The 14,859-nt window shown below is 43.7% G+C and overlaps 1 protein-coding gene across 11 annotated transcripts in view, besides 2 other annotated features; it reads left to right on the forward strand.

The window, feature by feature from the left end:
- The window catches only part of SNX25 (sorting nexin 25), a 174,406-nt gene that overhangs the window by 27,547 nt on the left and 132,000 nt on the right, over positions 1-14,859 (forward strand). The window lies entirely within an intron of this gene.
- Positions 7,940-8,932: an enhancer, noted in NCBI's record as "NANOG-H3K27ac-H3K4me1 hESC enhancer chr4:186160877-186161869 (GRCh37/hg19 assembly coordinates)". NCBI's record gives its function as "activates a minimal SCP1, AML or CMV promoter by ChIP-STARR-seq in primed H9 embryonic stem cells {active_cell/tissue: H9 hESC(primed)}" and the evidence as "EXISTENCE:reporter gene assay evidence [ECO:0000049][PMID:30033119]".
- Positions 8,933-9,924: an enhancer, noted in NCBI's record as "H3K27ac-H3K4me1 hESC enhancer chr4:186161870-186162861 (GRCh37/hg19 assembly coordinates)". NCBI's record gives its function as "activates a minimal SCP1, AML or CMV promoter by ChIP-STARR-seq in primed H9 embryonic stem cells {active_cell/tissue: H9 hESC(primed)}" and the evidence as "EXISTENCE:reporter gene assay evidence [ECO:0000049][PMID:30033119]".

Genomic DNA, 14,859 nt, shown 5'->3' on the forward strand with positions numbered 1-14,859 from the left:
AAGAAGCAATTTGTATGATCTAGATCTGGGCTGGAGTAAATAACTTTTACTCATCAATTAAAAGGGATATAAAAGTCTGTCTCTTTGAGTAGATTTAATTGCATTGTATTTTTGTCTTTATGCAGCTAGTCTTTTATGGCAGTAATTCATTCCATATCTTAATATGACACATTTATGCTATCTGGGCTGCTAGGTGTGGGGCCCAGCTTTTCACTTCAAAGGAATTATGGAAGTCGAGGTCCCAGTAAATCAAATTACCAATGTAATTTTTTTCTAAGTATTTTATCACCAGTTTTTATTTAAAAGCTAGTTAATGTGAAAAACACACTCACCCGTCTAAACCCAAAGAATGGACTCAGAGACATGAAGAACAGCAGAAGAGAGACTTTTAATGGTGGTCTTGCAAGATGGGGTGTCTGGTAGGCAGGCACACCTGGGACAGTTACAGCAGGTAATTTATCTCCTAGCACACAAGTCCCCTTGCCCAGTTCCTCATTGGTCTAGTACTACGGGGTTACAATCTTCCCGGACATCGCCTAAGTTTTATTATCCCCCTTATAAGGTTATACCCCATCCATCCCCTTCCCCGCTTAAGTTTCAATTTCCCAATAATGCAATTTTCTTCCCTTTTATGGGCCGACCCCTCCTCTGCATCCTGTTTGCTTATCATGACTTTCTAGGTGCATGAGCCGTGCAGTTTGTCATGTCCACAGGCCGGATACCAGTACTTAGATTTATCATGCTTCAAAAATGGACCATTTAAAATGTTTCCTCACAGTTAACAAATTAACTAAGATAATGGCATTATGGTATTCCAGGACAGTAATGGAGTACAAAACAGTGATTGATTTCATGACTAAAGATCTCTGTGAAAAAAGCAATTCAACGTGACTCATCCAGTTGTTGAGTTACAGGACAGCTTTAAAGCAGGGGCAGCTCTTCTGGTTCCTTCAGCATTTATGTTCAGTGCTATCAGCGAGAACTATTATGACATGAGAATTCTTTTTCCAATATACTTTAATATGTATGAACTTCAAAATTCTCTTAGATTGGTTGTATACTTGAGTAATTTATCTTCTGTGACCTGGGCTAGAAAGTGAAATGTAGAGAGCATGCCAGAATAGGAAGAATATTAGAATTCCTAAGCCCAGCCTTCCATGGTGGTATGGCTCATTAGCTACCCGATTATGAGTTTCCATCAAAAATAAATGAAGCCAAGGCTGGGTGTGGTAGCTCACACCTGTTATGCTAGCACTTTGGGAGGCTGAGGCGGGTGGATCACCTGAGGTCAGGAGTTCGAGACCTGCCTGGCCAACATGGTGAAACCCCGTCTCTACTAAAAATATAAAAATTAGCTGGGCATGGTGGCACATGCCTGTAGTCCCAGCTATTTGGGAGGCTGAGGCAGGAGAATCACTTGAAACCTGGAAGGCAGAGGTTGCAGTGAGCCAAGATGGCACCACTGCACTCCAGCCTGGGTGACAGAGTGAGACTTAGTCTAAAAAAAAAAAAAGAATAAATGAAGCCCTGTGAGTACAGAGAACATAATTTATTTACCGTTCCCTCTCCAGTACCCAGCTAAGTGCCAGGCACCCAGAGTGAGTCCTCAGTAAATGTTAGATGATTGAATAAACTGATGGAAACATGATTCATATCATAGAAACCTATGATTTCCCTTATGAACTCAAAATTACAATAGAAGCCAGTGATAAAATAGTTACAGAATTTTTTTATCATATAAACTTTTTTAGAAATGCAAAAATTATTGTCAGGGTTTTCAGTTACCTTTTTCTAAGCCAGTTTGCTTTTCTTCATTCTTTTTTTCTAGCTTCTATTCGTTCTCTACTTGCCAATTTAGTCAAACTGCTATCTGCCTGTGTATTTTCAAGTACATGTTCTGATTTCAATTTTCAAGTGTTTGTCTGATTTGAAATATACTTAAATTTCTCTTGTAATCAAATGGAGTGTGTTTTGTAAAGATCTTCAGATTTGAATCTTAGAAATTAGAGATAAAGCTCTTTTTTCTCCCCATGAATCTAATTCTTCCAATTGAATGGAAAAACAACTTAAGTGTTATTATTATTATTATTTTTAGATGGAGTGTGGCTCTGTTGCCCAGGCTGGAGTGCAGTGGCGCGATCTTGGCTCACTGTAAACTCTGCCTCCCGGGTTCACACCATTCTCCTGCCTCAGCCTCCCGAGTAGCTGGGACTACAGGCACCTGCCACCATGCCCTGCTGATTTGTTTGTATTTTTAGTAGAGACGGGGTTTCACCGTGTTAGCCAGGATGGTCTCGATCTCCTGACCTCGTGATCTGCCCGCCTCAGCTTCCCAAGGTGCTGGGTTTACAGGTGTGAGCCACCATGCCCAAAAACAACCTAAGTATTATTAACCGACCTCAAAATCTACTTCTATTGATCACTTAATGAAGATTTTGCCTTTGTGTTAATACTTATTTTTCTTTTAGAAAGCAGGTTATTCACCAGGAAACATTACGAAAGGAACCTGCTATGAAAGTAAAATATGACGGCATGAGAGGTCATAACATCAATCCCATGTAATATAACTATAATCATTTTTCGGAAAGGAAATTAACGTTGTTAAAAAGTTTAGGCTGGCCGGGCGCGGTGGCTCACGCCTGTAATCCCAGCACTTTGGGAGGCCGAGGCGGGCGGATCACGAGGTCAGGAGATCGAGACCATCCTGGCTAACACGGTGAAACCCCGTCTCTACTAAAAATACAAAAAATTAGCCGGGCGTGGTGGCGGGCGCCTGTAGTCCCAGCTACTCGGGAGGCTGAGGCAGGAGAATGGCGTGAACCCAGGAGGCGGAGCTTGCAGTGAGCCGAGATCGCGCCACTGCACTCCAGCCTGGGCGACAGAGCGAGACTCTGTCTCAAAAAAAAAAAAAAAAAAAAAGTTTAGGCTATGACTTTTGGAACCATAATAGTAACCTGTATCTCTGAACTGCTTTATAATTGTTAAAGCACTTTTATGTGCATATTATCCTTCTTCAAATGCATAATAATTCATTAATTTAAATAGTGCAGACATTATTATTTTACATTGACGTGACTCTCAGAGAGGTGGACATGTTCATCATAGCCCAGCAAGTTAATGGGGAATAATCAACTGCAGCTTCATTTATTCTGGGTTTTAACTGAATGCTTTTGCCACTCTAATGTGATGTAATATGCTTTTGTCATGGTAATAATAAGGGGATTATGCCCCAGCATGAAGCACATTTTAATTTCGTATTTGTTCAGAGAAAAGATCTAATGGTTTCATATCCCTTCATAGGATGTAGTCTCTCGGTCTATCTTAATAGAGAATTGTCTTTCATTATGGAAGTAGCAACAGAACCAGAATCATACATTTGATGCATGTAGGCATGGTTGGCCTTTGGCCTGGACACAAAACATACTTTGATACATGGTGTAATAAGCTACAGAAGCTTCTGATCTAATCTGCCATTCATCTTTCTCTATGTTCATGTGAGGTAAAATCAGGATACAGATGTAGGCTTTTGGAAGCTGTGTTGGTCTTACTAAGTACCCCTCGGGAATAGAAGGCCCTGACCTGTGCCTTCACACTGCCTCTCTTGTTCATTACTCAGTTCTTCTTCTGGAGGTGCCCTGCTCAGAGGACCTGGGCTTTCAAGGGACATGGTTTAGGGTTGGCCAAAGAGGCTGAAAAGGGATTTTTCCAGTTCACCTATGCATAATTCGTGCTTCAAGGCCAGAAAAGCTGAGAGTACCTCACCTCCCACCCCATTCTCTCCTTTGTTCCTTCGGTTTCTTCTCAGCCGATAGAAGACTCGCCTTTTGGCCAGTTGCAGTGGCTCACAACTATCATCCCAACATTTTGTGAAACCAAGGTGGGAGGATTGCTTGAGGACATGAGTTCAAGACCAGCCTGGGCAACATAGTGAGACCCCTGTGTCTACAAACAAAATAAAAATAAAAAATTAGCTGGGATTGGTGTACACACCCGTAGTCACAGCTGTTTGGGAGGCTGAGGTGGGAGGATTGCTTGAGCCCTGCGGAGACTGTCCTGCAGACCCTGGCTGAGCAAGGGATGAAAGGAATATGCAGATGCAGGTATTCTGCATGAGTGTGGCTAGGGGCCGAAGAGAGAGTGCAGTCCTGATAAACCAGAGCCGCTTGTCTATGTTCAGTACAGATGTACTGACAGAGGCCTGGAGTCAACACAATCTGTGGTAATTAACATTGTTGTCCCCCCTTGCAGGGAGCAGTCTGGTGTGCGGATGATCTAAGGTCGGTTTCCGGGCAACATAAGTAAATAAACTTATCTAGATAAACTCCTCTACATTCCCTTGCACCTACTTCTCACCCTCTGCCTCAGGGTAAGAGAATTAGCTGCCTTCAGCTTTATTCTCTCCCGAAGTTTTGCAAAACCTCCTGGCCTTCCAAGAAGGTTTGCATCTTTCCCTATAACTTTTTATAACTTTTCCCACCACCCTGACCAATCTCCTATAGTACCCAGGAGTTTGAGGCTGTAGTGAGCCATGACTGTGCCACTGCACTCCATCCAGCCTGGGCAACAGAGTGAGACCCTGACTGAAGAAAAAAAAGACTCCCCTGTGAAGCAAAAGAAAATTCTTGAGGCATTTAATCTTTTGAATCAAGTCAGAGTCCAAATCCACCTATATATTTTATAGACGCTTTTAGTATGATTTAGAACATTTTTGGTGGTACCAGTAGCATAACAGTGGCCACATTTTTTATTTAAATAGAAAAAAAAGATGGAGACAAACTAAATATAGAATAAGAGAATAAATTATGATATAAGCTATTCAAAACATTGTCTGAGTCTTTTATTATTATAAAAGATATTCATGATAAAATACTGAGTGTAAACAGCCAGATGCAAAGTTGTATGTATACCATGATCCCAATTTCTTTTAAAAAGTATACAGATGAAAAAGTTACCAATAATTTATTGTTGTCAGACATTGTTACAGTACTTGGTGTGTGTTAATTAATGCTCATATCAATTTTGTGAGGTAGGTACTATTGTTATCTATTTTACGTATGAGGAAAGTGAGGTATGGAAAAGTAACTTGCCCAAGGTTACATAGTAAGTGTTGGAATCACTGACAAGAAGGAAATGTACCAAAATGTTATTAGTGATCATCTGGATCATCATTATGAGTCAGTTTAATTCCTTACATCTATAATAGAGAATGTATTTCTGCTGTTTATGTAATTGGAAATAACAGTTTAAAAAGAAATTATAGCATTTTTGAAATTTAGGAAAACAGTAATATGAGAAAACTTGTAGGTTGAATTTTAAAGAATAGCTGCTCCTTCCTGTATCTAAAGTAGAAATTGTGCTTGACTAAGAGGGAAAAAAAGGCACAAATCCACTATTTTCTATTAATACACTCTCCCTAAATGATAACCTCTCAGTATCATGTTAACAATTTTCTGTTTTTTTTGATAAGGAAAGTAAGATATTCTTTAGTTCATGGTTCAGCACAATAAAAGCACAACTCAGGAAACTGTCAAACCAGGTTTTGTTTGGATACTTAAATGCTTTACGTCACAGCAAAACATCTCCAGGGAATGTGCGCTTTCCTCTCTGTAAAGCACATCCTCAAAGGCAAAAATACTTCAAGAATTATGTGCTCTGTTATGCTGTGTCTTACTGGTTGCTTAACTTTTCAACCCCTCCGTGCTTTTATTTCTGCCATTCCTGTGCCTTTAGAAAACCCCTCAATCAACCCACTTTGGATTTGTTGGAAGTTGGTAAACATTTTGAGTTGTATTTGTGATACTGTCTGGTGGGCGCTCTAAGAGCTTTGTGAGAGCAGCCATTACAGACTAGACGCCCACGGCTTGAACATGGCTCAAAGTTTAGCCCAAACAGTGGCAGCCTGCAGAGTTTGTAATAACGTTGAATTAGTTGGAGATATCGTCCAAAATTCATGACTTTTTTTTTTGGTGTTGTTGTTGGAAAAAAAAAAATCAGGCCGGGTATGGTTGGTTGCTCGTGCCTGTAATCCCAGCACTTTGGGAGGCCGAGGTGGGCGGATCACCTGAGGTCAGGAGTTCGAGACCAGCCTGGCCAACATGGAGAAACCCCGTCTCTACTATAAATACAAAAATTAGCCGGGCGTGGTGGCACGTACCTGTAGTCCCAGCTACCCAGGAGGCTGAGGCAGGAGAATCACTTGAACTCAGGAGGCGGAGGTTGCAGTGAGCCGAGATCACACCACTGCACTCCAGTCTGGGCTACAGAGCGAGACTCCATCTCAAAAAAAAAAAAAAAAAAAAAAATTTAGAGCACCTCTCAGCACAGTAGTTGCAATCCCCTTCACACATTTAGAGTCCTTGTCAGGCCCCTATCATCTTTTTTTAGATCCCTGATATTATTTATTTGATCCTCCTGAGGCATATTAGCCCACATAATAAGCAAGCTAGAGAGGGGAGTGGCTGGGTCAAGGACCTACCATTAGTAAATGGCAGAGTGGAGCCCGCCTGCCATGGGAGCCTGTGTTCTTTCTCTTAACACGGCTGCTTGGCTTCCAGGTGGGGAGTGACACTGTTGCTCATGTCATGATCTTTTGTCAGAATCTTAATCATATTAGGTGTAGGTGGCCTTTGAAGTTTCTTAGTCCCTTCTCATCCTTCTGAGGAGGGATATGCATATTTTCTTCATTTCTTTGGTTTTGAATAAATTAGTCTTTGAGGCTGAGGCAGAATATCGTTGTTTCGAAAGAGGTCCTGGTTTTGAGACTATCATAGTTTAAGAATGAGAGTATTAGTCATGAGATCCCAGTAGATTGTCAGATGCTGCATATACTTGGAGAGACTCAGCCATGGGACGGCTCCATGTGGTTAATGATGATTTTTGGGGAGTTTGTGTTTGCTTTTGTAAGATGAACCATTTCAGTAGCTTTATAGGATATTACACCTGTCACCCCTTGAACTCTGTACAACTGTTTTCCTTTTCAAAATAGCACCAAAAATACATCAAACTTTTAAATGTATGTAATGGAGGTGAGAGACACTTGTTTATTTGAGAAGACCAGGTAATAGGCATGAAGAAAATTGCACGTTACAGGTTGGCTGCCCTGGCTCCCAGTGAGCAGTGTCCTACTTAAAAACAGTGGACAATGAGGTGTGTATGTTGGCTGGATTCCAGGGAGTTCCTGATTGTTCAGTTGCTTCTGGTGTGAGTACTCAGGTTTCTCTGCCTGGCTTCTCTCTAGATGTTGTTTCCTCATAAGAGGGTCTGTAGTAGCCTTGACACAAAGACAGTTTGAGCGCATTACGGCTGGTACTCTGGAGTAAACAGAAAGCTGATATATATTCAGAAAAGGGTTTATTGATAAAACGTACATGCTTTTTCATGCTGAGGATCTGTCACATATATTAGAGAAAAGTTTTCTGCCAGGCGCGGTGGCTCACACCTGTAATCCCAGCACTTTGGGAGGCCAAGGCGGGCAGATCACTTGAGGTCAGGAGATCGAGACCATCCTGGCCAACACGGTGAAACTCCGTCTCTACTAAAAATGCAAAAAATTAGCCGGGCGTGGTGGTGGGCACCTGTAGTCCCAGCTACTCGGGAGGCTGAGGCAGGAGAATGGCTTGAACCCAGGACGCGGAGCTTGCAGTGAGCTGAGATCGCACCGCTGCACTCCAGCCTGGCAACAGAGTGAGACTCCGTCTCAAAAAGAAAAAAAATAAAAGCTTTCAAGTTTTGCTCTGTCTTTAGAAAAATACTCTGAAAATGTTCTTAAAATTTTCTCTCTCTGCAGAAAAACTCACTGGGTGATTAAAAATGATCTTGATACGTTGTTTTCAAATAGGTTTAAATCTTAAAATGAAGACAAAACTTTATTTTATTTTTGTTGTTGTTTTTTAAATCTTTTTTATGCTTTGCTTTCTTTTTTTTTGTTTCGGTTTTTTTTTGTGTGTGTTTTTCACTTATTTAAATAGAAAATAAGGTGTATTTTTTTTTTCTTTTTTTTTTTTTTTATTGATCATTCTTGGGTGTTTCTCGCAGAGGGGGATTTGGCAGGGTCACAGGACAATAGTGGAGGGAAGGTCAGCAGATAAGTGAACAAAGGTCTCTGGTTTTCCTAGGCAGAGGACCCTGCGGCCTTCCGCAGTGTTTGTGTCCCTGGGTACTTGAGATTAGGGAGTGGTGATGACTCTTAACGAGCATGCTTCCTTCAAGCATCTGTTTAACAAAGCACATCTTGCACCACCCTTAATCCATTCAACCCTGAGTGGACACAGCACATGTTTCAGAGAGCACAGGGTTGGGGGTAAGGTCATAGATCAACAGGATCCCAAGGCAGAAGAATTTTTCTTAGTACAGAACAAAATGAAAAGTCTCCCATGTCTACCTCTTTCTACACAGACATGGCAACCATCCGATTTCTCAGTCTTTTCCCCACCTTTCCCCCCTTTCTATTCCACAAAACCGCCATTGTCATCATGGCCCGTTCTCAATGAGCTGTTGAGTACACCTCCCAGATGGGGTGGTGGCCGGGCAGAGGGGCTCCTCACTTCCCAGTAGGGGCGGCCGGGCAGAGGCGCCTCTCACCTCCCGGACGGGGCGGCTGGCCGGGCGGGGGGCTGACCCCCCCACCTCCCTCCCGGATGGGGCGGCTGGCCGGGCAGAGGGGCTCCTCTCTTCCCAGTAGGGGCGGCCGGGCAGAGGCGCCCCTCACCTCCCGGATGGGGCGGCTGGCTGGGCGGGGGGCTGACCCCCCCACCTCCCTCCTGGACAGGGCGGCTGGCCGGGCAGAGGGGCTCCTCACTTCCCAGTAGGGGCGGCCGGGCAGAGGCGCCCCTCACCTCCCGGACGGAGCGGCTGGCTGGGCGGGGGGCTAACCCCCCCACCTCCCTTCCGGACGGGGCGGCTGCCGGGCGGGGGGCTGACCCCCACCTCCCTCCCAGACGGGGTGGCTGCCGGGCGGAGACGCTCCTCACTTCCCAGACGGAGTGGCTGCCGAGCGGAGGGGCTCCTCACTTCTCAGACGGGGCGGTTGCCAGGCAGAGGGTCTCCTCACTTCTCAGACGGGGCGGCCGGGCAGAGACGCTCCTCACATCCCAGACGGGGCGGCAGGGCAGAGGCGCTCCCCACATCTCAGACGATGGGCGGCCTGGCAGAGATGCTTCTCACTTCCTAGATGGGATGGCGGCCGGGCAGAGACGCTCCTCACTTTCCAGACTGGGCAGCCAGGCAGAGAGGCTCCTCACATCCCAGACGATGGGCGGCCAGGCAGAGACGCTCCTCACTTCCCAGACGGGGTGGCGGCCGGGCAGAGGCTGCAATCTCGGCACTTTGCGGGGCCAAGGCAGGCAGCTGGGAGGTGGAGGTTGTAGCGAGCCGAGATCACGCCACTGCACTCCAGCCTGGGCACCATTGAGCACTGAGTGAACGCGACTCCGTCTGCCATCCCAGCACCTCAGGAGGCCGAGGCTGGCGGATCACTCGCGGTTAGGAGCTGGAGACCAGCCCGGCCAACACAGCGAAACCCCGTCTCCACCAAAAAAATATGAAAACCAGTCAGGCGTGGCGGCGCGCGCCTGCAATCGCAGGCACTCGGCAGGCTGAGGCAGGAGAATCAGGCAGGGAGGTTGCAGTGAGCTGAGATGGCAGCAGTACAGTCCAGCTTTGGCTCGGCATCGGGGAGACCGTGGAAAGAGAGGGAGAGGGAGACTGTGGGGAGAGGGAGACCGTGGGGAGAGGGAGAGGGAGAGGAGGGAGAGGGAGAGGAGGGAGAGGGAGAGGAGGGAGAGGGAGAGGAGGGAGAGGGAGAGGAGGACAGGTGTATTTTTTTTTTTACAGGATAGCGGTCTGGTTCACCAAGAGCTTTTATGAGTTAATATTGTGATACGCATACTGAAAACTTAAAGCAAGAGTAGAGTACCCTGTCCTCGTTTCTGGACCAGGATACTGAAGATTATCAGTTATCCTTTGTGACAGTGGGCAAAGTACACGTATTTTTCTTTCATCTTTCCTAAAACAGGCATTTTAGGAAGATGATTGTCAGGAAGAGGTTGTCTTTACCTGAAGCCTATGCTAGCATAATAGAGTAAGTCTTTGGGGAAATCTGCCTTGTGAAGTTTCTTTTTTTCAAACCTATAAATAGGAGAATGAAGACAATTATTGTTTGGTTATCCTCAGAGCCACAGGAATTTATTCATGTTTTAAATTTGTTGAATTTTCATTAGCTTCTTTCTCTTTTTTTCTGAAATTTCATCTTGGGGAAAATGATTAGTGGATTCTACCCTTTTGACCTGAAAGAAATAAGAGTATGTAGTGGCTGCTCATTCAGACATGAGGAGATTCTGGCTTCAGAAATATTAAATCCGTAAAAAGGAATTTCCATGCAGAATGTGTACAGAAAACTTTTTCCTCTACTTTCATACCACAACAAACATAAACATAGAAGATTTTTGTGACCAAATGTGTGGGGTTTTTTTCCCCACACACCAAGCAAGCGGACACCAGCTGGGTGTCCTCTAATTGTTCCAGCATCGTCTACCTGGAGACAGTGTCAGAGCCCATAGATTAAGTGAAGCTCAGTCCCCAAGAGCCCTCAACCCCCCACCCCCAACGTCAGTCTGTAAGTCTGGGCTGCTGGAATTTCTTACCAACCAGCTTCAATTTGAGGTGCCCATGAGCCCCCTTTGGGTTCAGTTAATTTGCTGGAGCAGCTCACAGAACTCAGGGAAACGCTTACTTACATTTACTGGTTTATTGTAGAAGATATTGCAAAGGATGCAGATGAAGAAATGCTACGGTGAGGTATGGGGGAGGGGTGCGGAGCTTTCATGCCCTCCCTGGGCACCACCCTCCAGGAACCTCACATGTTCAGCTGTCCCGAAGCTCACTGAGCCCTGTCCTCTGGAGCTTTCCTTCCTCTAGAGTATAGGGTGGGATCTCTGATGGGAGGGTCCTAAGACCCACAGTCAGAGAGGCAGGGGCCCCTGAGAGTAGAAGGAGGGCAGAAAAAGGTCAGAGACTTGCCCCCGAGGCCCGACACACCCAACATTATAACAAAAGACTGTAACAAGGGCTGTGGGAGTTAGGAGCCAGGAACCCTGGATGAAAACCAATATATATCATAACACTGCACATAGTAACCCAGTTATTTTTGGCCCATGAGGTGTTTTTTTCTCTTTCCTGTTCTCCTGGCTTACAGATTCTCCATCAGGCTATGGGGATGGGATAGGAAAAAAGAACTGTTTTCTTTCTAGTAAGGGCCAGTGATTCCTAGCGGGTGGGATGTGGGAACTTCAGAACCAGATTGGAAAATCAGATTGAAAGAATAATAGGTAGGGGTTTTGCTTAAATAGAGCTAAAATAGAAAACATTATTCTCATAAACCCATCTCCCTTGCAATTTGATTTTTATTATGGTAAAATACTTATAAAATTTGCTGTCTGAACCATTTTTGAGTATACAGTTCAGTGATACTAAATGCATTTATAATGTTGTGCAACCATTGCCACCATCTATCTCCATAACTCTTTTCATCTTGTAAAGCTGAAACTCTGCTAGGCATGGTGACTCATGCTTGTAATCCCAGCACTTTGGGAGGCCTAGGTGGGAGGATCGCTTGAGGCCAGGAGTTCAAGACCAACCTGGGCAACATGGGGAAACTCCCATCTTTACAAAAAACTTAAAACATAGCGGGACACACACTTGTAGTTCTAGCTACTCAGGAGGCTGAGGGGGAAGGATTGCTTGAGCCGGGAGATTGAGGCTACAGTGAGCCAAGATTGCACCACTGTACTCCAGCCTGGGTGGCACAGTGAGACCCTATCAAAAAACAAAAAAACCCCCAAACTGAAACTCTATACCCATTAAACATTAACTCACCATTCTCCCCTTCCCCTAGCTCTTAGAGAAACCACCATTTTATCATTAAATAAATGAAAGGCCTTATTCAGATGTAGTCAGTAGTGACAAACATATGTTTGCATGTTACATGTAAGTATGAAGTAGTGAGATAAAAGAAATATACAGACACAGGGCAAGAGGTAGTAGATCTGTAACTAGGAAGATAAAAAATAAGAATAAAAAATTAAAAGTTTTGAAGGAAGTTATAAAGATAGACACATATCCAAAGAATATGCTTCAGATATGCATGTACTGTCAGTCATATTCATACCCAGCCCTTACAGGCAGTTTCCATTTTAAGAACTCAAATTCAGGAACAACTCCTTTCTTTCTTTTTTTTGAGACAGTGTCTTGCTATGTTGCCCAGGCTGGAGTGCAGTGGTGCAGTCCTGGGTCACCGCAGCCTGCATCTCCTGGGCTCAGTCAGACCTCCTTCCTCACCCTCCTGAGTAGCTGGGACTACAGGTGCCTGCCACCAAGCCCAGCTAATTTTTTAAATTTTAGATGGGGTTTCACCATGTTAGCCAGGCTGGCCTCAAACTCCTGACCCCAGGTGATCCACCCGCCTCTGCCTCCCGAAGTGCTGGGATTATAGGCGTGAGCCACCGCACCCGGCCAGGAACTTCTTCAATAAGTTTTTTGGCTTTGGTTTTATCATTTGATCAGTATTGTTCATTTAACTATTTGCCAAAGCATTGAGAAGTTGTGATTAAAATTATTTAGCAGTGTAGACCTCTGAAAGCATTTAACTCCATTAAATATTACCCCCAAAATTCGTAAGTTGTTTAAATATCTGCCTGATGTTTTAAAAGCAGTAGAATTTGAAAATTCCTCATTTCCTCAATTTTTTTTTCTGTGAACTAAATGAAAAATGTTAAATTTCAATAAAATCTAGACCATTTATTTAATTTCATAGAGAGCTACCCAGAAACTAGAAAATAGTTTTAAAAGGTCACATGATTTTCTTTTATGCATTAAATGTCTTTGTCTATATATGATTATGATTAAGATTTTTAAAAAATTCCTTTGGAAAATGTTGAATGCTATATATTAATTTGAGCATAAAGGAATATCTTTTCTTTCTTGGGTGCAACATGTACATCTTAAGGTTTTAAAAAAAAATTCCACTAAGAAATCTTGAATCTATGGCTTTTTTCCTCTTTTTTTATAAGGTCACCAGGAGACTTTTGTTTGTTTTTAATAACAGTAAGCACGAACAGGGATGACATCCTTGGCACTTGATCATAGATACCATGAGACTAATCAAGGACTGGAAATTCTCCACTCCCAGTTGGGTGGCCTGGGGCTGTGGGATTGATTGCATCTGTGCTGGTCTGGCCTCTGCTTGAGAACGAAGTGGTTCTCCACACTTGTTTGTAGGATGAGGGCAACCGTAACATTAGCCTTTTAGCTCTCCAAGTCATGTGGCAGTGCTGGTCAAGAACTTGTAATATTTCTCACGTGAAAAAAAAATGTTCTGCAATTTTTTTTGTTTCTTTTTTTCGTTCCAAACCAGTAAGTAGACCCCAATTACATTGTATATGCTTTTGATTACGGTGATATGTGATCAAGTAAAAAAAAATCCTCTTTTTAATGTAGTCTCACTAGCAAGATAGTGGGGTTTTCATTCTATAGTCTCTCCTTTAAGAAAAAAAATGCCAAGCAGTATCTTTTTTTTTTCTCCCAGACAGAGTCTTGCTCTCTCAGGCTGGAGTGCAGTGGCGAGATCTCAACTCACTGCAACCTACATCTCCTGGGTTCAAGCTATTCTCATGCCTCAGCCTGCCGAGTAGCTGGGATTACAGGTGCCCGCCACCACGCCCAGCTAATTTTTGTATTTTTAGTAGAGACGGGGGTCTCACTGTGATGGCCAGGCTGGACTCAAACTCCTGACCTCAAGTGATCCACCAGCCTCGGCCTCCCAAAGTGCTAGGATTATAAGCGTAAGCCACTGCACCCAGCCCAAAGCAGTATCTTTATACAGTTATTTTTAACATCACTTGCTGGTATACAGACACACATAGACTTAAAATTCTATACCTCCGCCTAGAGGAAACCACTTTTAAAAGTGTCTGTGCTTGCAAACATTTTCCCATCATAGAAAACTTTCCATGAAGGTATATATGTATCCCTAAAGCATTCTTTTTAATGGTATACCAATAATTTATTTAACTCTTTGACTATTGACGTATATATAAAAACTTGCGTTACTTCCAATTTTTTTTGCCCCTATAATTAATATAGCAGTAAAATTCCTTATACATGTACTTTTTTGGATTTCCATTGGGCAGAGTCCTAGGAGTGGCATTGCAGAATAGAAAGTCCTTTAGGCCGGGTGCGGTGGCTCACGCCTGTAATCCCAGCACTTTGGGAGGCCGAGGCAGGTGATCACATGAGGTCAGGAGTTCGAGACCAGCCTGGCCAACATGGGAAAAACCCATCTCTACTAGAAATAAAAAATTAGCTGGGTGTGGTGTCGTGGGCCTGAAGTCCCAGCTACTCTGGAGGCTGAGGCAGGAGAATCACTTGAACCTGGGAGGCGGAGGTTGCAGTGAGCTGAGTGGTTGCAGTGAGCACCACAGCACTCCAGCCTGGGCAACATGTGAGACTCAAAAAAGTCCTTTAAAATTTTGATATATGTGGCTCAGTTGCCTTCTTAAAAGCTTGTAGAAATAGATATTTCCCCCAACAATATATGAAAACAACCATTTCCCTGTGTCCTGGTGAACATTAGATAGGTATGTCCTTTCTGCTGCTTTGGCAGTCTGATGGTATCTCATTGCTCTAATTTGCATTCCTCTAATAAAAAAGGGGATTGCATTTTTTTGTCATACATTTATTGGTCATTTGTTTATCTTTTATGATTTCCCTTTCAACTTCTTTGGTTTTCTTTTGAGTTATTTTCTTATTTTTGGAGTCTCTGTATATTTAATGATAGTTCTTTGTTACATTGTTACAGATACTGTC

The sequence above is a fragment of the Homo sapiens genome, chromosome 4 (genome assembly GCF_000001405.40).
Source record: "Homo sapiens chromosome 4, GRCh38.p14 Primary Assembly".
NCBI classification, from domain to species: domain Eukaryota; kingdom Metazoa; phylum Chordata; class Mammalia; order Primates; family Hominidae; genus Homo; species Homo sapiens.